Source organism: Homo sapiens, chromosome 17, assembly GCF_000001405.40.
Source record: "Homo sapiens chromosome 17, GRCh38.p14 Primary Assembly".
Taxonomy (NCBI): domain Eukaryota; kingdom Metazoa; phylum Chordata; class Mammalia; order Primates; family Hominidae; genus Homo; species Homo sapiens.
The window spans coordinates 10,903,881-10,930,542 of NC_000017.11; the positions used below are offsets into that span (position 1 = coordinate 10,903,881).

The 26,662-nt window shown below is 42.6% G+C and overlaps 1 long non-coding RNA gene across 1 annotated transcript, besides 1 other annotated feature; it reads right to left on the minus strand.

Moving 5' to 3' along the window:
• Positions 1-1,686: 1,686 nt before the first annotated feature.
• LOC105371536 (uncharacterized) lies at positions 1,687-15,798 on the minus strand. The gene is made up of 5 exons (XR_002958133.2): positions 15,722-15,798; positions 14,991-15,124; positions 12,664-12,748; positions 12,272-12,335; positions 1,687-1,772 (listed from the first exon to the last, which is right to left on the minus strand). It is a non-coding gene; the product is annotated as an uncharacterized LOC105371536 (long non-coding RNA).
• Positions 22,570-23,069: an enhancer, noted in NCBI's record as "H3K4me1 hESC enhancer chr17:10829767-10830266 (GRCh37/hg19 assembly coordinates)". NCBI's record gives its function as "activates a minimal SCP1, AML or CMV promoter by ChIP-STARR-seq in naive H9 embryonic stem cells {active_cell/tissue: H9 hESC(naive)}" and the evidence as "EXISTENCE:reporter gene assay evidence [ECO:0000049][PMID:30033119]".

Below are 26,662 nucleotides of genomic sequence, written 5' to 3' on the forward strand. Positions count from 1 at the left end.
GACATTCGGGTTGGTTCCAAGTCTTTGCTATTGTGAATAGTGCCGCAATAAACATACGTGTGCATGTGTCTTTATAGCAGCATGATTTATAGTCCTTTGGGTATATACCCAGTAATGGGATGGCTGGGTCAAATGGTATTTCTAGTTCTAGATCCCTGAGGAATTGCCACACTGACTTCCACAATGGTCGAACTAGTTTACAGTCCCACCAACAGTGTAAAAGTGTTCCTATTTCTCCACATCCTCTCCAGCACCTGTTGTTTCCTGACTTTTTAATGATTACTATTCTAACTTATGTGAGATGGTATCTCATTGTGGTTTTGGTTTGCATTTCTCTGATGGCTGGTGATGGTGAGCATTTTTTCATGTGTTTTTTGGCTGCATAAATGTCTTCTTTTGAGAAGTGTCTGTTCATGTCCTTCGCCCACTTTTTGATGGGGTTGTTTGTTTTTTTCTTGTAAATTTGTTTGAGTTCATTGTAGATTCTGGATATTAGCCCTTTGTCAGATGAGTAGGTTGTGAAAATTTTCTCCCATTTTGTGGGTTGCCTGTTCACTCTGATGGTAGTTTCTTTTGCTGTGCAGAAGCTCTTTAGTTTAATTAGATCCCATTTGTCAATTTTGGCTTTGTTGCCATTTCTTTTGGTGTTTTAGAATGATTGTATATCTAGAAAACCCCATTGTCTCAGCCCAAAATCTCCTTAAGCTGATAAGCAACTTCAGCAAAGTCTCAGGATACAAAATCAATGTACAAAAATCACAAGCATTCTTATACACCAATAACAGACAAACAGAGAGCCAAATCATGAGTGAACTCCCATTCACAATTGCTTCAAAGAGAATAAAATACCTAGGAATCCAACTTACAAGGGACGTGAAGGATCTCTTCAAGGAGAACTACAAACCACTGCTCAATGAAATAAAAGAGGATACAAACAAATGGAAGAACATTCCATGCTCATGGGTAGGAAGAATCAATATTGTGAAAATGGCCATACTGCCCAAGGTAATTTATAGATTCAATGCTATCCCCATCAAGCTACCAATGACTCTCTTCACAGAACTGGAAAAAACTACTTTAAAGTAGTCAATCCTAAGCCAAAAGAACAAAGCTGGAAGCATCATGCTACCTGACTTCAAACTATACTACAAGCCTACAGTAACCAAAACAGCATGGTACTGGTACCAAAACAGAGATATAGATCAATGGAACAGAACAGAGCCCTCAGAAATAACGCCACATATCTACAACTATCTGATCTTTGACAAACTTGAGAAAAACAAGCAATGGGGAAAGGATTACCTATTTAATAAATGGTGCTGGGAAAACTGGCTAGCCATATGTAGAAAGCTGAAACTGTATCCCTTCCTTACACCTTATACAAAAATTAATTCAAGATGGATTAAAGACTTAAACTTTAGACCTAAAACCATAAAAACCCTAGAAGAAAACCTAGGCATTACCATTCAGGACATAAGCATGGGCAAGGACTTCAAATACTTTAATTTCTAAAAGTTCTTTCCTTGTTCTTGGACAATTCTTTTGTGTGGAATGTTGTTCCTTTTGCAATTCACAGTCCAGGCAGGTGAAATATCTCCTTTCATTCTACTAAAGACGCTGATACAGATCCAGATAAAGATGTAGATCTTTCCTTTGCTCCTGGAGTCATTTCTGCATAACCCAGGTCCCTTATTTATACTAGTTTCATTTTCTCTCTGTCGATTAGAGGACATTTCAAGTGTCTGGTTATCCTTTGCTGGCCATTTTCTTTCCTGTGGCAAAATATACAGCATACAAAATTTATCATTTGAATCATTTTTGAGTAGACAGTTCAGTGGTGATAAGTACATTCACATTGTTGTGTAATCATCACTGCCATGCATCTCCAGAACTTTTTCATCATCTCAAACTGAAACTCAGTACCCATTAAACTCTAACTCCCCATTCCCCCCTCCCTGCAGCCCCTGGTAAACATGATTCCTCTTTCTCGAAGAATTTAACTATTTGAAGTACCTCATATAAGTGGAATCATCCAATAGTTATCCTTTTTGTGTCTGGCTTATTTCACTCAGCAAAATGTTTTTAAGGATTACCCATGCTGTAGCAAGTATCAGAAATTCATTCTTTTACAAGGCTGAATAATATTCCATCATATGTCTGGACCATAAGTTGTTTATCCATTCATCCATTGATGGGCATGGGTTGCTGCCACCTTTCGATTATTGTGAATAATATTGTAATGAAAATGGGTGTACAAAGATCAGTTCAAGTCCCTGATTTCAATTCTTTTGGTTTACATTTTTTTTTGGAAATGGGGTCTCTCTATTGCCCAGGCTAGAGTGCAATGGCTCTTCACAGGCATGATCATAGTGCGCCATAGCTTCAAACTCCTGGGTTCAAGCGATCCTTCTGCCTGAGCCTCCTGAGTAGCTGGGACAATAGTCATGTGCCACTGCTCTTGGCTCTTTCAGTTTACTTTTTAAAGTGAGACGATAAAAATTTATGAGAGGCCGTGTGTATGCATGTGCACAGATTGTCAGGGAGCTCACAGTCGATGAGTGGGTTTTCAAACAAACCATTCATTAGAGGATCCCAGGAAGAGAATATCTATTTCAAAGTCCTATTCATTAGGCTCATGCTTTCTCCTCTATATTTAGCAGAGATAGCTGAACGTTTACAGTATACAGCACAGCACTCAGGGGAGTGCCTGGAACTTGCTGAATGAATGGTATGTGGGTGTCATTCTTTCTCAACTTTCTCATATAATTTCCCCATATTCTGATATTTCACTGATAGTTTTAGTTGCAATTTGGGAAGTCAGGAATGGGATGGGGAGCAGGGAGCAGTCAAGTTATACATTTGTGCTCAATCTGCCTTGATACTTAGAAATTCCTTTGACACATTGCCTTTAGCTGGCCCTGGGAGCAGAGACCACATTTTATATGCACAAGCTACTTAGACAACTGTGTGGTTATTCCTGGAGTAAGTAAATGATAACAGAGCTGCCTGCAGGACATGAGGTGGGTGTGAGGGATGGGGAACTGAGAGGGAAGAGGCCTCAGGGAGGCTGGGCTTCTTGCTTGGGGGTCTCTCCTCCTCTTGTCTCCTGTTTTCAGATGCTCTGGTCTGACCCTTTCATGGGGCAAGCTCCCTAGTACTGTAGGTTTCATGTGGAAAAGGTAATGATTTATTGTGATGGTAGTTGAAAAGTAAGGCTAACCTCGGCCGGGCATGGTGGCTCATGCTTGTAATCCCAGCACTTTGGGAGGGTGAGACGGGTGGATCACCTGAGGTCAGGAGTTCGAGATCAGCCTGGCCAACATGGTGAAACCCTGTCTCCACTAAAAATACAAAAATTAGCCAGGCGGGTGGTGCACGCCTGTAATCCCAGCTACTTGGAAGGCTGAGTCAGGAGAATCGCTTGAACCTGGGAGGCAGAGGTTGCAGTGAGCCAAGATCGCAGCATTGCACTCCCGCCTGGGCAACAGAGCCAGACTCCATTCCAAGGAAAAAAAAAAAAAAAGTAAGGCTAACCTCCATGTGAGGTTTTCTCACAGACAGAGCCATGGTGCCATTATTATCTCCATTCCAGAGTTTGAACAAAGCACAAGGATAAAGTCAGGAGGGAAAAATGAAGTCTGAGCAGCTGGTGTTTGCTTCAGCCTCTTCCGGAGCCGCTTCTGAGCCATCAGGGAATAGGAAGGAGCTATTGCCATTCCCTGCACGGCCCCAGTGCGAGCCTGGGCTGTGACGCACAGATATGGAGGGACATTGTCGCTGGCTTCTAAGTGATATTCTTCTTCCTTCTAATCTCCCTATTCTGCTGCTGGGAAATTTATGTAAAATCAACGCATAGCTACTTAAGTTTTGCTCCCATTGATGTTATTGTTATTTATTTATTTACTCCACACATTCCTAGATGGATTATGTAAGATTTGACAGTTTCTTTCTTGAAGTCTTGCACTTTTATCTGCAGAATGCCATCTGCCATCATCAGAGAGCAGTGGATGTGGATGTGTCTCAGGAATTAGTTGATGTCCTGTGAACTAGATTTGCATAAGCTTCTGCAGCCTCTGCTAACGAGTGTAAGATGGTTACCAGGGCCTGCTATTATGGAGAGTGATTATTAAACATGCAGAAGTCTCAAGCTGGGCGCAGTGGCTCACACCTGTAATCCCAGCACTTTGGGAGGCTGAGGCAGGCGGATCACCTGAGGTCGGGAGTTCGAGACCAGCCTGACCAACATGGAGAAACCTCATCTCTACTAAAAATAAAAAAATAGCCAGGCATGGTGGTGCATGCCTTTAATCCCAACTACTCAGGAGGCTGAGGCAGGAGAATTGCTTGAACCTGGGAGGCAGGGGTTGTGGTGAGCCAAGATCATGGCATTGTATTACAGCCTAGGCAATAAGAGCGAAACTCCGTTCCAAAAACAAAACAAAACAACAACAACAACAACAAAAAGCATGCAGAAGTCTCATACTGTCTTAACGTGTGACAGAATTGAAACCAACTGTGCAAACATGCAGAAAAACGTTTGCCTCCTTAATGTTTTGTAAACAACTAGAAATCTGACATTTCTTCAAGGAAAGTCCCTCCTGCCCCACCTTTTATATAATTCTTGACAAGAGTTTTTTAAACATTTTCTTTTTATTTTTTATGGAGATAAAATTTACCAACAGTCAATACACAGATCTGAACATCGCATTTGAATTTACCAACAGTCAATGCACACATCTGAAACTTTGATGCTTTTAACAGATGTATCCATTCATGTAGTCAACCAACACCCATCAAGACACAGAACAATTCTTTGCCCCAGCAAGTTCCTTGTGCCCCATTCCAGTCAATCACCATGCCTTGCAAGCAATCACCACCTGCTTTGTATCACCCTGTTCCTGGACAGAGCAAGTTCCTACTGTCCAATAATGAGATGCAGACAGACTGGGAAAGAAGGGAGTTGATTTCTGCAACTGGCGACAGGGAGAAGTTCAGAGTAACTCACCAGACCAACTCAAAGTTGAAGGTTTTATTCTAGTGCTTATATACATTTAAAGTTTTATGCCTATGTGTGGAAATGCACCTACAAGTAGAAGTGTTTCATTCCATCTATATCTAATCTTTAACTAGGGTCTAGGGTTTGGAAAGCTTTCTCTAGAACCTTGGAAGGTTTTTAAATCTTAAATGGGCCCTGCAACGAAGTGTATGTGTAAGAATGCTATTCTTACTTGATCAGACTTTAGGGTCTGAGAAACCCCAGGTGGGGTCTTAATGGGGTTGATTTACATTCCAGGCCTTGTACTCAGGTACCAGTTTCTCCAGGTCTTTAATGTCTAACTTATACACTCATAAGAATTACAGTAAAGGGTTAGTGGAAACTGTCTGTTCTGGCTGCTCATGGAAACCTGGCCTGCCAAACCCTAGAGATTCGTGTTGCTGCCTGACCCTAGAGATTCGTGTCACCAGTTCTAAAACTTCACATAAATGCAATTGTCCATTGTCATCAGGCACTGTGCATTTCTTTTCTTTTCTTTTTTTTTTTTTTTTTTTGAGACAGAGTCTGGCTCTGTTGCCCAGGCTGGAGTGCAGTGGCGCAATCTCAGCTCACTGCAAGCTCCGCCTCCCGGGTTCACGCCATTCTCCTGCCTCAGCCTCCCGAGTAGCTGGGACTACAGGTGACTGCCACCACGCCCAGTTAGCTTTTTTGTATTTTTAGTAGAGACGGGTTTTCACCAAGTTAGCCAGGATGGTCTCGATCTCCTGACCTCATGATCAACCCGCCTCAGCCTCCCAAGGTGCTGAGATTACAGGTGTGAGCCACCGTGCCTGGGCCAGGCACCGTGCATTTCTTTGTGTCTGGCTTCTTTTCTCATCCATGTAATTGTATACTAGTAGTTTGTTCTTTTTATTCCTTAGTAGTATCATACAATACTTTCAATTTCATAATATTTTTTATACATTTCCCAGTTGATGGACTTTTAGGTTGTTTCCAGTTTGGGGTTCTCATGAGTGAAGCTGATAAAACACTTATACAAGTGTGTTTGTGGATATGTGTTTTCACTTGCCTTGGGTAAATATTTACAAGCTAAATAGCTGTGTCATAGGGTAAATGTAAGTTCACAATTCTTGTCACATTTATTTCTAATTGTTTTATCATTCTTTTTGTCATTGTAAATAGGATTTCCAACCCCTTCCATTTTCTAAATGTTTTTTTCTGGTTTATAAGACAGAGAATGATTTTTAAAATATTTGGTGATTAGAGTCTTTGTTAGTTGCTTTTATTGGTTCTTTTTTTATTGTCTTTTTATTTTTGAAATCCAAGTACTACCTGAATAGTCTCATCATAAAGGATTCAAACATTGAAAAGATGTAAGAAAGTCAAATACAAATGCAACCCTTCACCTTCACTCCAGCTCCTACTTTACCCCTGGAGATACTGAATAGTAACAATACAATGGGTTGCTTTCAGATTTTTTTTAAAGCACTTCAATGTGTGGTTTTGTAGGATATAAACAGCACAGGGTACCACACCTAGACATTGTAGATTTGTGTAGGCTGGAGTGCAGTGGCACGATCTCGGCTCACTGCAAGCTCCGCCTCCCAGATTCACGCCATTCTCCTGCCTCAGCCTCCCCAGGAGCTGGGACTAAAGGCGCACGCTGCCATGCCCAGCTAATTTTTGTATTTTTAGTAGAGACGGGGTTTCACTGTGTTAGCTAGGATGGTCTTGATTTCCTGACCTTGTGATCCACCCGCCTTGGCCTCCCAAAGTGCTGGGATTACAGGCGTGAGCCACCGCACCCAGCCGAAGATTCTTAAGTGTACATATTTGTACACACACATTATGTAAGTATTTATTTAGTGGTGATTTCTACATGTCCTGCTCTAGTTGCTGTGGAAGCAGCTGTGACCAAGGGAGACACAGTGCCTGCTCTCATGTGGCTTACATTCTAATGGAGGAGCGCAGACTGTGAATAAGGAAACATTTAAACAAGATCATATTTATTGAATTAAATGTTTAGTAGAAAATAGATAAACTCCTATGCTAGAAAATTACTACTTTTGGCCGGGTGCAGTGGCTCACACCTTTAATCCTAGCACTTTGGGAGGCTGAGGCAGGCAGATCACCTGAGGTCAGGAGTTTGAGACCAGCCTGGCCAACCCTGTCTCTACTAAAAATACAAAAACTAGCCAGGTGTGTTGGCACATGCCTGTAATCCCAGTTACGTGGGAGGCTGAGGCAGGAGAATTGCTTGAACCCAGGAGGTGGAGGTTGCAGTGAGCCGAGATTGCACCACTGCACTCCAGCCCGACAGAGTGCAATTCTGTCTCAAAAAAAAAAAGAAAAAAAAAGAAAAAAGAAAATGACTACTTTCAATTGCGGGTTTAAGGAAGTGTTTTAGGTAAAATCTGAGGGATAAGAAAGAACTGACTAATAGAGACCCTGAGTCTCTGAACTAGACCAATGATGGGGATTTCTTTAAAAAATTGAAATACCTTTTTAACTTTTCCCAGGCATTTTCATAGGGTGAAGACAAAGGGTACCAGGATGTGAAGCTGAGGAAGGATTTTCTGAGTCCACTTCTATCTACTATTAAGATGAACCCCAATTCTCCATTTTGGCAGTTGTTTATTGATCAATCTTAGATTTAAGAATTGTGGGGTTCTACCTTTTCTCATTCTTCCTGGGAATCTGAGTTGAACAATTAAGTTGTTCAATTATGGTTAAATGTTGAACAATTAGTATTAATCAGGTTTTTATTAAGATTTGAACAACATTGCCTTCCACGGTATACTCTCTAACAAGTACCTATTGTACAAGTGTCCTGTTTTTCCAATTAAGGACAGAACAATGGGAATGATTAAATTTTTAAATAGAAGTTGAGTAGGTTAATGTAATTGCCTGGTGGGTTCTTCTTGCCTACTGCACAGATAGAGTCAATTCACTGAGTTAGTGGTATTGCATTAAAGAAAGAGTTTAATTAATGCAAGGCTACTCAGGCAGAAGGTGAGAGTTTATTACTCAAATCATCTCCCTGAGAACTCAGAGGCTAGGGTTTTTATGGGCAATTTGGCAGGCAGGGGCTAGGGAATGGGTGCTGCTGATTGGTTGGGGGAGAAATCATAAGGGTGTGGAAAATGGTCCTCGTGCACTGAGCCTCTGGCTGGGGAGCCATGAGTTACGGGTCTTGTGGAAAATGGTCCTTGTGCACTGAGTTAGCCTCTGGCTAGGGAGCCATGAGTTATGGGTCTTGGTGGAGTCAGTAGGTTGCCAGAATGCAGAAGTCTAAAAAATATCTCAAAAGACCAATCTTAGGTTCTATAATAGTGATGTTATCTGTAGGAGCAATTGGGGAAGTTACAAATCTTGTGATCTCTGTCACAGTAAATGACTATAGAAAGGCAAGCTATGCCTACATTTTAGCAGAATGCAGGCCCCTCCCATAATCCTATTCGTGTCGCCTTTCATTAGTCTTATAAAGGCAAGTTTCAATCCCTGAATAAGAAAGGGGTCAGTTTTAGGGAGGGGCTACTATCACCCTTGTGGCAAAGTTAAGCTATGAACGAAATTCATCCCATAGTTAGCTTGTCCTACTCCAAGAAATGAATGAGGGTGGCCAGCCTGTGAGGCTAGAAGCAAAATGGAATCAGCCATGCTAGACTTTCTTACTGTCATCATCTTTGCAAAGGCAGTTTCATTAAGACAAAATATATCTAAATATAAGCCCACTCCACTACTACACATTGTACCTCCTGGTATTGTTTAGAATGACTTTTCCCCTGTCTTTCCTTTTTTCAGGGCCAATGTATTCTTCAATAAATAAATGTGACTTGATTTCAACACATAAGAATGAATGATTGAAGCGTCAAAGTTCTAAGCCATGGAGCATGGCTGTAAAAACTTTACTCCAAATACTTTTAAAAGCGGATACTATTTAATAACCATGTAGGTTATTTAAAAAGTTGAAGTGAAGCACTCATAAAATGTCTAATTTTGAGAATTGTAAATTCTCGTGTCCTTTGCCAAAGAAAGCATTTGTAAAATGTAATTGCCAAAGAGGTTGCTACATTATTTTTTGGAAGACTTAACAACTTAGCAAAATACATGAAAAGGCAACTTAGCCATCCCTTGAAAGACTCGGCAGGACTTTACCAGGTAATGAAGTGTGTCCTGTGTGTAGGGATTGGGGTTGAAGAGATATTTGGGGGAAGGACAGAGAGTTAAAAGGTGGAAAAGTCACTACAAGCAGATGGAGAAGCAGGGACGGAAGTGTGGAGGTGGAGGGAACACATCACATGTAGAAAGACAGCTACAGTTTGATGGGAAGTAGGATGGGTAGATTGTCAACACCATTAGATTGGGAGCTTTGTTTATCTAATTCAGGGGGTTGGCTAACTATTGCCTACTCGCCAAAAGTTTTTGTAAATAAAGGTGTATCAGAGCAAGGTCATGCCCTTTTGATTACATATTGTCTGTGACTGCTTTTGCCCTACAATGGCAGAGTGGTGCAGAAACCACCACTGCTGCTGCGGAAACAGTGTGGCTAACGAAGCCCAAAATATTTACTATCTGGCCCTTTCTAGATGAAGTTGTTGACTTCTGATCTAACTCTGCCATGTCCCCTGGTATGGAGATTCCAGTGTATTGCCTGGCGTGTGGTAGGTGCTCAATATACTGGTGATTCATATTGAATTGAAGCATTCGCTGGTATTCAGATAATGAAGGGGCCTATTGTGGTTCTTTTTGTTAAGAAGGTGGAGCTTTATCTTAATGGTAAAGCATTTTGAGCCATGTATTCATGCACGCATTCATTTATTCATTCTCATTCTTTGAGACTCACCTCTAGCCTGAACTGGCCTCCCTCTACTCTGTCTCTCTAGCAAACTGGGCAAAACATTGATCAGACTGTTTTTCTGTGGGCCGGTTTCTCCCCTAGACTGAACTACTTGAAGGAAAAGGGTATTTCCTTTGTCTCTGTATTCGCCAGGCATGACACAATGCCTGCAACCTTGGGGGACCTTGATAAATATTCTTTGAATGAATGAAACAAACATTTGTCAAGCACTATTTTGAATGAATCAAAAAATCCAGAGATAATGCTGATTTGAGGAGACACTTGTGTTCATAAGAATTATGTGGAAGTGCTTTATAATCTAAACAGAACTACACAAATGGAAAATTCTTTTATTGTTTAGAAACTCTTTCTACTTCTATGTATCTTAAGTGTGTAAGCTCCTTCAAGAATTAATGACAAGAAAACAGATGGAGTTTGGGGCCAGACAGATCTCAGTTCAAATTCTAGCTTTTCTTCAATTTCTAATAATGAGCAACTTGGTTTGCACTAGCCTAAACCAGGATCACTTTTTTAAAAAAATATATTTTTAAGGCCAGGTGCAGTGGCTCACACCTATAATCCCAGCACTTTGGGAGGCCAGGCGGTTGGGGGGCAGATCACGAGGTCAGGAATTCGAGACCAGTCTGCCCAACATGGTGAAACCCCGTCTCTACTAAAAATACAAAAAGTAGCTGGGTGTGGTGGCAGGTGCCCGTAATCCCAGCTACTCGGGAGGCTGAGGTAGGAGAATTGCTTGAAACTGGAAGGCAGAGGTTGCAGTGAGCCGAGCTCGTGCCACTACACTCCAGCCTAGGCAACAAGAGCAAAACTCTGTCTCAAAAAAAAAAAAAAAAAAAAAAAAAAATATATATATATATATATATTTAAAATTTCAATAGCTTTTGGGGTACAAGTGGTACCTGAATGAACTGTACACTGGTGAAGTCTAAGATTTAGTCTGCCGGCCACTTGAGTAGTGTACATTGTACCCAATATGTAGTTTTTTATTCCTTACCTGCCTTCCAAGTCTCCAAAGTCCATTATTCCACTCACTCTGTATGCCTTTGCCAACCCATAGTTTAGCTCAAGAGGCTCACCTTTTTAATAATGCAAATGCAAATGAAAACTTTTATTGAGTCCCATGGAAGAATGTTCATCCCTACTATTTGGATAACCCACATTTTTAAACAGAAGAATATCCCTGAGAAAAGTGGCTCTGCTTTTAGCCACTGAGTGTCTTTGGGAAGCAATAACGCACAGGGTTGTTTTAGAAAATATTTTGTCTCACAGATTTCTTTAGCGTTCAAAGTGAGTTTACATGCACTATCTCATTCAATCACCAAAATACACAGTGAAATATTATTAAATATATTACCCCAGTTAAACATAGAGCTACCTAGCAATTTCACTTGTAAGTATACACCCCAAATAATTTAAAACAGATATTTAAAAAAAAACTCGTACATGGATGTTGACAAAAACACTATTCATCATAGTCAATAGAAGGAGAAAGGACAAAATGGTGGAAAATGCAGAATCTTTGATTCCCGGGTGGCCATATGGCCATCCATGGTATGGAACTCCAGGTGTGCTGTGCTCAGTTACTAAAGAAAACATTAGCAGTGAAATTTAAAGATGAATTCAACTCCTGGGGAGTTGGTTCACTGGATACATAAGGAAATGCAAACCAACAAGGAAAAAGTGAAATATTTAAACCCTTGGTTATCGTTATCTATAGTAGCTAACATGAAAGTAAAAGAGTGCTGGGTTGGGCCTTGAGGCTGATGTGGGTCTGTCTGAGCTCATGTCACTAGCCTCAAAGCTACCCACAAAGGGGGAAAGTTATGCCCAAGGCAAGAGATCTGTGAGTACCAAGAAGGTAGTCAACACAGGGGAGGGCAAAACCAAGTAACTATGGAAACCAGAGGGGATAGTGTGAAGGAATTGTTCCATTTAGTAGATTGGTATCATCAGCTCACAGTGGAACCATTACTAAAGTGGGTAGTGAGAATAACATGTTTGAGATGTGTGTCTTTGCTTTTAAATGCTGCAGACTAAAAAAACGTTTGGGTTGATTCAGGCCCCACAGCTCACTATTGAATAATCGCAGATATGTGATTTAGACACACAGGTGGGTATTCCCGAGGGAACAGCCAGCCTGATGGGCTGGATAAAAGTCCTGTAAGGTCTGTTTACCCTGAGAAGGCAGACTGCTCAACTCCACCCACAAATGCCAAGTGGATACCCCAGGTAAGGCAGCTGGTGAGTTTTGTATCCAAGCCATGTAGGACTGGCTAATTTATAATGACAGGGATATTCACCCACTGAATGTGCCCATTCTCCAGGTCATGGTAAATGCTGTGGTTAAGGGGACCCCTTTTGCTTCGGCACCTCATTACAGCCGCAAAACCAAAAGACAGTCCAGGAAGCCTTACCTAAATTTGCTGTCTCAATTTCCCATTTGCTAACTTCAATGTCCAAAACACTGATGGAGTGAAACTCAAAGGAAAAAGGAAAGGAGAGAGTCAATGGAAATTTTGAAAATAATTATTAAGAAATGCAGTGAGTAAAATGAAAATTAATGGGTTAAAACAACGGTCTTAATACAAGGCTACAGAAGGTTGAGTGGACCAAAGTTAGCCCCTGCTAGTTCCCCGATACTAAAGGGCCTCAAACTGGTTTTCTATATTTACTCCAGAGTGGAGGGAAAAAAATCAGAAGGCGAAAATTCCAAAGAAAACGTCGGCCAACTATTGCTGGAGCAATACTGAGGCAGGTTAATCAACATAAAGAGGGAGAAAGGGCCTGGATCCCTTGGCTCAACTACCTGCTGGAAACGCAAAGCCTTTTTCTCAAGACAGGGTTAAATGGTCTTGAAGAAAGTTGGTCTTGGAGAAGAAAAGTTTCTGGGACTAGAAAATAAAATGGAAAGGTTAATACGTTTATGAAGGTTAGAATATTTAAACAGGCTTTATGTAAAGTACTTGTGTCTTCTTCACCTAAATGTTTTTATGAAAAACATTCTGATGGGGGACTTTGGGAAGAGAGGAATATTTTGGGACTTTGGGAAGAGAGGAATTCATACAGGTATTATAAGCACAGTCTAATGGTGAGTGTTTGGCTTGGCTTCTGGCCTTGAGGGAATCCAAAATTTCTTATAAAAGTTTCAGAAAAGCCAACTTAAAAGGAGCCCATGACTGATCACTATTTTTGTGACACTTTATGCAAATAATCAGGCAAAGTAGAATAAAACTAAAATTTATTTTGCAAATAAATCTGTCCTACTATGATTTATCCTTGGCAGAAATGGGGAGACTGGAGAGAGAAAAATTTAGATTCTGGCCCTGGCCATTGTTTTGAAGTTTTTATTATTTGCCTACAGTTTGGGCTGATCCTGAATTGTTTTCTGGCTGCAACAAGTCTCTAAAGAAGAACCAGGTTTACTTTTTTTTCACAATGCTTTTAGTTGCCTTCTTAATGGAATGGCTTCTTTTTTTGTTGTTCTGGCTTACAGATTCTCTTTTCATTGTAATCCTGTGTGCATTATATTTCTACTGAGGACTAAGCTCTGATTTTTATCTAACACAAATTTCTACCTAAGGGGTCTAGGGAGTCATGCCCTACAAAACATAAATTCTCATCAGATGGGTTTTATTTGACCCTATATATAGTGACTTACTTTTCTTTTCTTTCTTTTTTTTTTTTTTTTTGGAGAGAGTCTCACTGTTGTCACCCAGGCTGGAGTGCAGTGGTGTGATCTGGGCTCACTGCAACCTCCACCTCCAGGGTTCAACCGATTCTCCTGCCTCAGCCTCCTGAATAGCTGGGATTACAGGCATCTGCCACCACACCTGGCTAATATTTGTGTTTTTAGTGCAGACGGGGTTTTACCATGTTGGCCAGGCTGGTCTCAAACTCCTGACCTCAAGTGATCTGCCCGTCTTGGCCTCCCAAAGTGCTGGGATTACAGGTGTGAGCCACCATGCTCAGCCATGACTTACTTTTCAATCTCACCCTGGCACAACATTATGAGACAAGGAAAAAATATTTAACCCCAAACTACATTTCCTTGCCATACCTTTGCCCTGCAAAGTCTTTTGTGAGAACAATCCACATTCTATAGAGAATCTCCTTTCCCCTTTGTTTTCTTTTCTTCCTTTGTAGATCCAGGAGATAATAACTAAGAGCCAGGCACCCTTTTAGGTCTAATAAGAAATATTTTACAACCTGCTCTCTCTCTGAAGTCGGCTATCTGAGGATTCCTCTGCATAATAAAACCTGGTCTCCACAGTCCTTTATCATAACCTGAACATTCCTTTCCATTAATCCTAGGTCTTCAGAAAAACTCAACCAATTGTCAAACAGAAAATGTTTAAATTTACCTGTAGCCTGGAAGCCCCCCTGCTCTGAGTTGTCCCACCTTCCTAAAACCAAACCCATATATTTCTTAAATGTATTTGATTGATGTCTCATGTCTCCCTAAAATATATAAAACCAAGTTTTACCCCCACCACCTTGGACACATGTTCTTAGGATCTCCTGAGGGCTGTGTCACAGGCCATGGTCACTCATTAGTTGGCTGAGAATAAATCTCTTAAAATATTTTACAGAGTTTTACTCTTTTTGTCGACATTACAATTTAAATTACTAATGTTATGTATCTCATTGTTTTACTTCTGAGAAAAACAAAGTCACCGTATTCTGAAGACTAGAGCTGATTAAACAGCCTGTGAATCTCCCTGATTTGGAATCCCACTGGGCCTGATCTGTTTTTCATTGGCAAAGCACAGCTGCTAAAGCTATACCACATCAAGCATCCTCCCTAAAGGCTGAGGGAACATCGTGGAAGAGCGGGGAATGTGAGATTCTAAGAACCAGATTGTGGATGGAGTGTGTAGGTCAGAACAACTTGGGTGCCAATCAGCCATGTTGGCTTCTGATTAACCCCTGTTCTGAGAATGTCTGTAAGATTTCTAGTTTATCCATTGTTCCTTGTGTAACAGCAAGTACTTATCATAAATCCTGACCTTAGGTCCAACAACCTTGAGATTATAGTACTTCAAGTGTTCTACATATCCCTTCTGAATCACCCTTTCTTTATGGTATATAAGCCCTGGCTCTGGGGGGTAACGGCACAAGGATCTACCATCTTACCTTGCCGCTTCCTGAGACACAGTCATGGTTTCTGTTTGTAAGTCCCTATTAAATGTTCCTGAGAGACTGGATTTGTCAACCTCTTTCTTTGGTCTTTCAGCTTCCTTGGACTTTGGGAGTAGGTTTGCCCAGACCTAACCATGTTGGAACAGTACGAATAAACAAAATGTTCACAGTTACCACTGAAATTACACCACCTGTGATGAAAGAAAGCTGGGTGGGCATTCACTCAACAATGGCCATCCATTGCTCAGCATTATCTGTCCTAATGGCTTTTTTGTTTGTTTTTTTGAGATGGAATCTTGCTCTGTCTCCCAGGCTGGAGTGCAATGGTGTGATCTTGGCTCACTGCAACCTCCGCCCCCTGGGTTCAAGTGATTCTGCTGCTTCAGCCTTCTGAGTAGCTGAGATTACAGGTGCCCACCACCACGCCCAGCCACTTTTTGTGTTTTTAGTAGAGATGGGGTTTCACCATGTTGGCCAGGCTGGTCTTGAACTCCTGACCTCAAGTGATCCGCTTGCCTCGACCTCCCAAAGTGCTGGGATTACAAGAGCGAGCCACTGCACCTGGCTTTGTCCTAATGGCTTTTGCTGCCCATTATCCCCACCTCAAATCTTTTGTTAACATTTGCTCAGCCATTCTAGATTTTTGCCCCCAACACCCTTGACTCTTGGAACCTTGTGGGATGCTAAATAACTGGGGAAAGGCAGCAAAAAGGCAGATTGCTCACGTGAAACATCCAAGGGTTTATCATCAAGTTTCACCTTTGGCTCTAATCCAAAGCATATATCTCTTATTGATTCTGTGGATTTTCCAGTTTTCCTTCCATTTGAACCTCTGTGCTTGTGAAGGGGTCCTCAAGGGCTGGACTCAGCATGATAAAGGTTGGAGTTAGGACTTATCTGCAAGTGACCATCCTACATTTGAAGGTCAAGAGGTAAGAGGCAGGGGCTCACCTGGAGGAAAGAGGCAGGGGCTCAGAGAAGGCTTCTTCTTTGTGCTTGTGCTCTTTGCTCCCTCTCCCATATGGGATGGGTCCCACCTAAGTCTCCTGTGTGTACCATTTTCATCATTCTCCCTCATACTTACACTTGGTAGAAGAGGAATCTTCCTGCAGCATAATTCTTACTCCCCAAGAGGAGATTCAGTGGGGAAGATGCATTAATAACTCTACAAATCTCGAGATTGGACTCACTGTTATTATGGGAGAAGATCTGAATATGTCCTCTTATATCCAGATGAACTAGAACCATCTCATGGGACAAGATAATGAGCTTAGAGAGTTTTACAGGAGGAAAAACATGAGCTTGTTTTAGTATTATAGACTAATGCAGAGACCAAAGCTGAGAGACTCTATGTGAACCTGCCCAAATCAGTCTTAACCCTTAGTTCACACTCAATAATACTGGCCATTTCATTTATTTATTTCTTAATAGATTTACTGATTTTCTCAATGCTAAGCAGATGGAAGCTGCATCTGCTGAGGGGAAACATTCCATAGGTTAATTTCTTTCCTCCTGACTCAGAAAGAGGGAATTCCTGCAACTGCTGAAGAATTTTGCACACTCTAGTTTCCCTGCTACAGAAGGCCAAACATCCACTGAGTCCTTTCTGAAGGTGACTTCTTTGCTCTTTCCCCAAATGTCTAAGCCACACAGGCTCCTGCACTCCTCTCAGGTTTCTAAGTGAGGGGTAAGCTGTTCTGAGCACAGCCCAGGCACCCCACACAGCACATGAAAATTTGATGTGTGCAATAAAGCCTGTCTTGCTTAATGCATTCAGCCCTTTTGTCCGTGGGAGCTAATATCCTTTTGGGAAATACTGTGATTTCAGCTGAAATGTCGGGGAAGGGGAGGGCGGAGAGGGAATGTGGGACTCTGCCATACAACCCCTTACTCCAACCACTTAATAACTTGGCTAAAAGCCACGATCGATATAGAGCTGTCAGCTGGGCTCCAGCCCTCCCAGCCTTCCCAATCAATCAACAAGATTTAGTGAGCCACCAGTTGGAATCTATGTCACATAAAAAGTGTGGGTTCCTAGACCAGTCCTAGAGAGACTAATTAATTCCTCCTGGGCACTTGCATTAGTTTCCACTTGCAGAATAGTAGCCTATTGATGGAGGCCCAGCTGTTAGACCTTCCCAAGTGTACCTAGGACAAGTAGGCATTTTGCATGTGATCCACTCATTTCTGCATTTTTTCTCACTAAACATAACTCTTCCATCAGTTAATAGTCTATTTTTTTAAATGGAGTTGTGGTTGAGGAAAGGGAAAGATTGCAGTCTTACTAATGTGCCAAGTTTTTACATTCATTTTTGAACTTATTCTTCCATGAGGTATGCTATAATTTTTACTTAAGAGATAGTTGTAACTATGACTCATTTTTTTCATATGAGGAAATCGTGGCAAGGCTGCCCTTCCCTCCAGAGGAGCCAAGAGTGAACCCCGAGCAGTGGGCCTAAGACCTCAGCTCCCAGAAAACCTATCCAGCCTTGATAAGGATCAGGAAGGAGTCTCTGGAGTTTGGAATGAGACTGAGCTTCTCCAGCCTCCTCACCTCCAACGACAGAGTCCAGAGTCAGTTCTAGACACACACCCTTCTCTGCGCTTCAATGCTTTCAGCCCTACTACTAATTGCCCTGAGTCCTTCATAACAAATCTCATTTTCCCCTGTATCTCTGTTCAATTCCACTACACACAAGGCTCCAGATTCCTAGGTTACCATGTTTCTTAGCCCATTAACTCCCCAAATGCACTCCATATTCTCATGCATTTCCTATCTATCCTCATCTCATGGAAACCATCCATGGTGACATCAGGAATTCCTGGTCCATCATTAGCCAAATTCTGTGTCTTCAACCTTTCCTCTGGATGGACCTTTTTTCTTCTTGCTGTAACGGGGACCTGGCTTTCATTGAGGGAAGTTTTCTCTGCCACTCTCTAAGTGATGGCTTGCTTCTCTCCCATCCCTTTTCCTTATACCTCAGAGTCTCCTGGTTTGTCATTTCTTCTTTCAGACCAGGCTTTCTCCCACCTTCATTCAAATCCCCATTGAACTCTCATGTTATCAGGCTATGTCAGACCCTATCCTCCAGTACTACTTCTCTTGACCAAGCACTCAGGTCTCACACTTCTTGACAGTTTTGCATCCTTGAAGGCCATCTCACTGTCTCCAACACCACTCTCATCTTAATTCTTGAAGATTTCACAAACCGTTAGATAATTTTCTCTGTTCTTGAATTCCTCTCCTCCCTTGAAGTTATATTCTACCCTAGCTTGGCCATTCACTCCTGTGGTCTTATCCTAGAACTCTTCATGATCAATGATTACAACTTGTCATAATGTCTATTTTATGCAACTCTTTTTGACCACTACCTCCTATGTTTTAACTCATTGCGTCTAATAACTAACTCTAACAATTTTCCAATCTCGCAGGGACAGTCCATCCACTGATCTGATCATTCCCCTGCCCACTGCATCGTGATGTTATGGCTTCCCTCCTCATGCAGTTTAAAGTCCATGGCTGACTATTATTTTTATATCCTTGTATGTGCCTTCAACTTCCTTGCATGTCTCACACTGTTTTATTCTCCCTGCTCCATGCCTGCACCCATGCAGCTGAATAAGGCTTGAAAACAAAAAAAAAATAAACCTAAGATGATTCTTTTGTTGACTCATGACTACAAACATAATGTTGGGAGCAGTAATATATTTCCTAGTTCATCCATTCTCCTCTCTCAAATAACTGGTTGATATCTTCTCCTCTCACCTCAGAAATCCCCTAGGCTTCCTCACATACCCGCACTATTGGCTGATGACTTACTTCCTGTATCACTGGGAAAATGAAGCAATCTGAAGAGGGCTTCCTCAAATTCCCACCACCAAATCCATCCACTTACGGCATCTGCACCGTATGCTTTACCTTCTGGACCATTTTTCTAGATGAACTGTCTGTGTTCCCATAGTAAGCCAATCTTGTTTTTATACTTTCATTCTATCCGTTCTCCTCTACTCTGTGACATCACACTGGCGATTCTCCCTGCTGTCTTTTACAGTGTCAGTTTCTCTCCCTCTCCAGTAACACACTGTTACTTGTTCCATCTTACAGAGCAAAACTTTCTATTGGCCCCACTTCCTCACCAGCTACTGCCTACTGTCTCCGCTCCTTTTTGGATTTAGCAATAGCCTGGACAAAGTCACTTTGATGGAGTGATTGAAGCAAAAAACAAATTGGAGCAGGTTTAAGAGAGAAGGGGATTGGGAGGCCGAGGTGGGTGGATCACAAGGTCAGGAGTTCAAGACCAGCCTAGCCAACATGGTGAAACCCCATCTCTACTAAAAATACAAAAATTAGCCGAGCGTGGTGGTGTGTGCCTGTAATCTCAGCTACTTGGGAGGCTGAGGCAGGAGAATCGCTTGAACTCGAGAGGTGGAGGTTGCAGTGAGTCAAGATCATGCCACTGCACTCCAGCCAGGGCAAAGAGTGAAACTCCATCTCACAAAAAAAAAAAAAAAGGAAAGAGAGAAGCGGAGAAGAGGAATTGGAAGCAATTACACCAGCAGTTTAGTTATCTTAAATTTAGTGAGTTAAAGTCACAGGAAAAGAACCTGGGAACAGTAGGTTTACATTTATATGATGCTCATCAGAAGCCAGGCATGTTCACAGGACTGGAATACAGATGGAGGTAGAGAGATGCAGAACTCTGCTCTTTCTCTCAAAGAGCTCTGGCCTGGGACAGAGACAGGGATGAACAGAATGGGTTGGGCAGGCTGGGGACTTGACTGCATGCTAACAACCAGACAGAGGTCTTTGCCCTACCTTTGTCTGCCGTAGACTTCAACTTGTAGACACTCACAACTTTGCTTTCTCAGGTGTCCACACTGTTTCTTTCTTAACCTCACCTGAGCTGCACATCTTCCAGGCAGACCAGGCTCACCTAAGAGCAGACTTGACCCTGTGCTGAGATGGAGCATGCTACTTCACCCAGCCCTCGAGGCTGCAGGGCTGGAATCATATAGTGGGATTGGCCTTGCTTCTTTCCTGTGCTCTCAAGGGAGACGAACTGGGCCTGCCCTCCAGGTTTTGTCTCTTGAACTCCTGGAATATTTTTCTCCCCTCTAAGGGAGAAGAGCAGCTGCAGTTCTATCTATCCCTCCAGGTCTCAACCCTGCTCTTGCCATAACATGGATGCCCATGGATGGATCCTCCCTTTAACAGCCCCCTTCCTTTCTTTCTCCAGAAAACATGTTGGAATACAATTGACCAAGAGTAGGATGATTCTAAGGATGACTTTGGTGCGGCTTTGATTCAGCTTAAAAGTAAATTACTTGCAAATATTGACATTTTAACCACCACTAATAACTTATGACTAGCATTCTCCTCACAAGGAATAAGCCCACTCCCTGTAGTTGAGACTAAAGGGCTCTCAAGTTCAGCTAAAGTACAAGCAGGGTTCCCACAGGTCACCCAAATGGGCAAAAGGCCTGGGTGGGAACTGTAACTAGCCTGCAGGGGGCCAAAGTCTACTTTCCTCCAGTTCATTGCCAGTGTTGACTGCCCAGATATGACCCATCTTCTGAGTTTTCCACAAAAGCTGGAAATCTAGATTTTCAGGGAAATCTGCTTTATAAATGTTGATGACTAATTAAAAATCTTCAAAAATGCTGGGCATGACAAACAAAATACAACTGTAATCTGAGTTTGGCCTATGGGCAGATATCCAGCCAACTCTGCTCTCCGACCTCTGAGTCTGGGCATTCCCAAGATGGCCTCATCGCAGCCCTTGCAGCTCTGTGTGTCTACCTGAGATCCCACCCAGCTTCCCAGGTCAGTATTTCAGCACCATACCCTTATATCAAGTTTCTTCCTTGCTGTCTGGGGTGACTGGGAGAGGAGGGGCTCCTGCATCCCAGAGGTGGAGAGAAGTGAAGAGAGAGCAAAGTTGGTGTTTTTGTTTGTTTTGGGTTGGAGGAAGGAGTGCACACAGCCTGATGTGGAGCAGTCTTGCACTTCCCTGGGGTCTGACGCCAGAACAGCATCCGCCATTGTCCTGTTCCCCTGAGTCAGTGTACGGTGTGAAGGATGATGCAGAAGGATACTCACTCACTCACTCACCACTCACTCACTCACCTGTTCATTCATTTGCTTATTTATTCACTCATTCATTCACTCACCTACTCACTCATTCACTCATTCATTCACTCACTTATTCATCTGCGTATTCACTCACTCACTTACACATTCACTCATTCACTCACCTACTCACTCATTCACTCATTCATTCACTCACACACCTACTCACGTATTCACTTATTTATTCAGTCATCCATTCACTCACTCATTCACTTATTTATTCACTCATTCATTCACTCACTTATTTATTTACTCATTCATCACTCACCAACTCTTTCATTCACTCACTCATTTATTCACTCACTCACTCACTCATTCATTCCCTCAAACATTCATTCACAAAGTATTTATAAAACACCTGTCAGGACTCTTGTGGACATTAGGAATTCAGCAGGGGAAAAACAATCAAGAACCTGCCTTCCTGAGGCTTACATTCTGGTGAGGAGGCAGGGATGAACAGACAATAAACAAGTAGATGTGTCACCTAATATGTATCTGGAGCTGAAAACTGCTTTTAAGAAAAATAAGGCAGATAAAAGGCAAAAAATGATTAGTTTAAATGGAGGAAAGAGAAAGGCCAGTCTGAGGAGGTGTCATTTAAGAAAGATCAGGAGGAAGAGAGAGAGCAAGCCTTCTAAGTACTCAAGGGAAGAGCTTTTCAGCAGGAAGGAGAGCAAGTTTGGAGGTCCTGAGTGAGGGTGTGTTTGGCCTTCCAAGGAATAGCATGAAGACTCAGAGTGGCTGGAGAGAAGTGAGATGATGGGAGGGCACAGAGAGGACTGGAAAGGAAATCAAAGACCAGGCATTGGACCTTTGGGCAGTGACATGATGGGAGCCTCTGAAGGATGAAAGCTGAGGGGAGGCATGATCTGATTTCCATTTTAAAAGGATCCCTCTGGCTATGGTGTTGACAATAGACTACGGGGGCAGGCGTGGAAGCAGGGAGCTGAGTGAGCAGGCTGTTTCAGGGGTCCAGGACTGAAATGATGGGGACCTAGACTGGATGCCAGAGGGGGAGATGATGTCTGCTGGATTTGGTATATATGTATATATGTATATATGTATATATGTATATATATATATATATATATATATATATATATATTATTTTTTTTTTGAGACAGTCTCACTCTGTCACCAGGCTGGAGGGCACTGGTGTGATCTTGGCTCACTGCAGCCTCCGCCTCCTGGGTTCAAGCCATTCTCCTGCCTCGGCCTCCCAAGTAGCTGGGACTACAGGCATGCACCACCACGCCCATCTAATTTTTGTATTTTTAGTAGAGGCAGGGTTTCACCATGTTGGCCAGGATGGTCTCGATCTCTTGACGTGTGATCTGCCTGCCTCGGCCTCCCAAAGTGCTGGGATTACAGGCGTGAGCCACCGCTCCTGGCCGATTTGGTATATATTTTAAGAACCAAGTCAATAGGCTTTGCTGTCAGTTCTCTGAGAGCCCAGGTAGGCGTGTGAGGGGAGGTGCTCACATGCACACACTCGGGCACGTGTGTTGGAGCACAGGGCTGTGTGGGTACATGGTAGAATGCAGATACACGTGCTGGTACAGCAGCTTCACCCTTTCCAAGGGCAGGAGAGGCAGATCTCTGTTCTTTGGCGCTTCTGCTGTGTTCAGCTGCTTTCAGCAACCCCAGCAGCACTCCTCTGCCCCAGTGCTGCATCATTGTTTGGCTGCCAAGGCCAGACCACCATTCCCCTCTTCTCCCAGTAGCATCAGGGTCCTGAGACATACAGGGAAGTACTTTGTCTCCTACCCCACTCAGGGAAATTTTGAGAGTAAACACCCATCCCACATCCCTCTGCCAGCCATTGCTGGACATGCCTGTAGGCTCTTTTCCACACATCAGAAGCCAGGAGGAGGTTGAATCAAATAGAAAGAACAGACACATGTGACCATGCGGCCTCTTCGCCTCTTCGCAGCAGTGTTATTGACTAAAGCCTGGCTCTCTTCTTTTTCTTTAGTCCTCATTCCTTGAGTGAGTTCAGCCCCTCTTACAACTTCAAAACTAAAGAGTCACTCTCTAGGTGACTCCAGATGGGCCCTCTGGCTTGTATTCTGACTTCAAATGACACATCCATTTGATGGGCTTGAAGGTGGACATGAAGAATCTGCAGGAATTCTTTTCATACTCTTTCTAAGAGTCTAGTTCCTTGGATCAAGGGAAACTCTGCTTGTACATTTTCTAAAGTTTACATCTTAGAGCCTCCAAAAATACATATTTTCTCCCTCCCATTATCCCTTCATTCCATCTTTTTTTTTTTTTTTTTTTTTTTTTTTTTTGAGATGGAGTCTCGCTCTGTCATCCAGGCTGGAGTGCAGTGGTGCGATCTAGGCTCACTGCAAGCTCCGCCTCCCAGGTTCACGCCATTCTCCTGCCTCAGCCTCCAGATTAGCTGGGAATACAGGCACCCGTCACCAAGCCCGGCTAATTTTTTGTATTTTTTTTTTTTTTAGTAGAGACGGGGTTTCACCGTGTTAGCCAGGATAGTCTTGATCTCCTGACGTCATGATCCACCCACCTCAGCCTCCCAAAGTGCTGGAATTACAGGCGTGAGCCACCGCGCCTGGCCATTCAGTCTTAGAGTTATACTTAGAAGAGGCACAATTGGCTGTTGGAACCAGAAAGGGACTTAGATTTGCACAAATCTAGATCAAAATTCTTAGATCTTAAATTTACCAATTGTGCAATTTGAACTAGAGACATTAGTTTTCCTCATCATAGAATGAGGACGACAATATCTAACTTTAGAGTTTTTATTAAGGTTATACACGGTCTTCACCAAAGACTTTACAAAACTTTACAAAAGGATCCTAGTTGAGTAATGTAGGTATGTTGGGATCCCACAGAAGAGGAATTGTTCTGCAAATTTCTCTTCCCTTTTAAGGAAAGAGAGAACAGTGAGGTATTGATGACTTTGCAGAAAAGTTGAATCTCTGGGCTCTAAGCTGAACTTTTATGAGGTCAGGGAATATTTTCTGTGAAATCACTGGGTTCTGCACTGTGGCTGGCTCATAGTAGGGCTTCAAAACATATTGTCAGATGGACAGAAGAAAAGGAAGTAGGGAAGCAAGGGAGGAAAGGTTAGAAGGACAGAAGGAATGAAGAAAAAAAGGAGAGTTTAGTAGGAATCAATCCTGTATGTGAAGCCTTGTGAGATGTATGATAAAGTCTATTTCATTTTGTGGGTGGGATGTTGAATACTAGGTCAAGCTTTTTTTTCTTCTATGACAAACAACACAGAGAAAGGGGGAGGGGAAGTCTGCACAGAATTTTTACTATTATTTTTACCACCAGACAATTAGGCAGGTTCCCTTTTGTTAAAATTCAAAGATTTTTTTTTCCATCTGGGGAGAAATAGTTTTAGTTATATGGCAGCTTCAATTCTAAGCCAGAAAAATGATTTATGAACAGAAACATGAAACATTTCTTTAAGAATAACCATATAATTTACAGCCCCAAATGATTATATTAAGGGTTTAGTTAATGTTATGCCTTCTTTGAAACAGGGAGAAAGTGGCAGAACCACTGTCATGCAGTCATACTGAATAGCCAACCAGTGGGTGCTGCAAAGTCAGCTTTCTCTTGATTGCATTGGATGTTGGTTCCAAGAGCTGCCGCAGCTCCCCAAGGTTGATGTTGCCAGGGCTGAATGAATACGGCCTTTGCGTTTCCCTGGCTACTGAACTCAAAGTACAGTACAAGGCGGGTTCTCCCCACTTCGACTAACTAGTGGGAACAACATCTTCAGAAGCATCAGTTGCATTACTTATTAGCAAGTCTACTGCATCCTCTCCATTTAGAGAAAGGACCACCATGTCCTGGGAAGGAGAATATTAATTTCTTTCCTTCTTGTGCAAACTCCTTTAGCAATTCGCTCCTTCTATTCATCCAAAGAAACTTCTGGGGGCTTCTTTTATGTGTCCCCCGAGGCAGTTCTCCATGCACACGACAATGGACATAATGGCTGCTGTAGAAGGGAATCAATTTCTCCTTCTATTCATAGGAAAAAAAAGTCCATCCTTCTTTCCAATACCATTGCTGTTTCTTCTCCCAGGAGGAGGCATTGACTTACCCAACTGCTAACACTGGAGAAAGAAACCTTTCCTATGTAGCTTAGCCCCTTCTTGCTTCTGTTTAGGATCTTAGCTGTGTGCGCTCCATTCCTATTTTCTCCATTCAGTAAAAGTCCTGTCCTGCCTCCTTCCTTGCTGTGTGTGGTGGCGTGAGTGGGTGTAGGAGCTGAACTAGGAGGTAGTTTCCATTGTGGAGGGTAATTACACAGCAAGGACTAAGCATTTTTCCCCCATATGTCTTACCATAAATAAATTTAATGTTGTCATTACCATCTGATGTTTGTCTCAGTTGATTCTGACCTTGAAGGAAGAGGGGTATGCTCATTGGCACCCTTAAATTTAAGCATCTGTCTTAAAGGAGCTCATAGCCTAATTGGGAAGACACACTGGTAAACTGTCAATCAAATAGTAAGGGTGACCAGTATCAGTGAAAAGCAGAATGAATAAGAATTAGCCAGATGAAGTAAAATACAAGCAATCAGTATGACTGAAATATAATGGGAGATGGGAAGCAGGAGATCAGGCTGCAGAGATTAGCAGAAACCAGGTAATAAAGGGCCTCATCGGTCTTTGTGGAATAGTTTGGATTTTATCTTGAAAACAGTGGGAGCCACTGCAGGGCTTTAAGGAAGAGAGTGAACAAGTGAATTGAGCAGATTTAGAAAGATTTTTCTGACTCTTGGTATGGAGAATAGGTTGGAGAGAGGCAGGTTTGGGAGGGTTTTTTTTTTGTTGTTGTTGTTTGTATTTTTTGAGACAGAGTCTTGCTCTGTCACCTAGGCTAGAGTGCTGTGGCATGATCTGGGCTCACTGCAAGCTCCGCCTCCCCGGTTCACGCCACTCTCCTGCCTCAGCCTCCTGAGTAGCTGGGACTACAGGTGCCTGTCACCACGCCCGGTTAATTTTTTGTGTATTTTCAGTAGAGACGGGGTTTCACCGTCTTAGCCAGGATGGTCTACGATCTCCTGACCTCGCGATCCGCCCTCCTCAGCCTCCCAAAGTGCTGGGATTACAGGCGTGAGCCACCGCACCTGGCCGGGAGATGGGGAGGTTTTAGGAGACTATTGAAATTGTTCCAGGTGAGATGATGATAGCCTGAACTAGGGCATTGGCATAGGTAAAAGTGTTTGGATTTGAGACACATTTAACAGATAAAATTAAGAGGATTTAGTGAGTAGTTAACTAGGTAGAGGAGTCAGAGAAAGAAGACCTTGATGACTCTCAGGTTTCTGGCTTGGGTATTGGTGGATGGTGCATCTTTCAAGAAATTAGGAAACCCAGGAGGAAGAAACACGTTTGGAAAGGAAGATGGTGAATTCCACTTTGCACTATTGAATGTAGATGTCAGTGGGATATCCAGTGAGGGAATTTGCTTGGTAGTGTGTTCATCTCAGGGAGAGGTATAGGCTGGAGGCGATGGATGTGGGAGCCAGCAAGCTGCATATGAC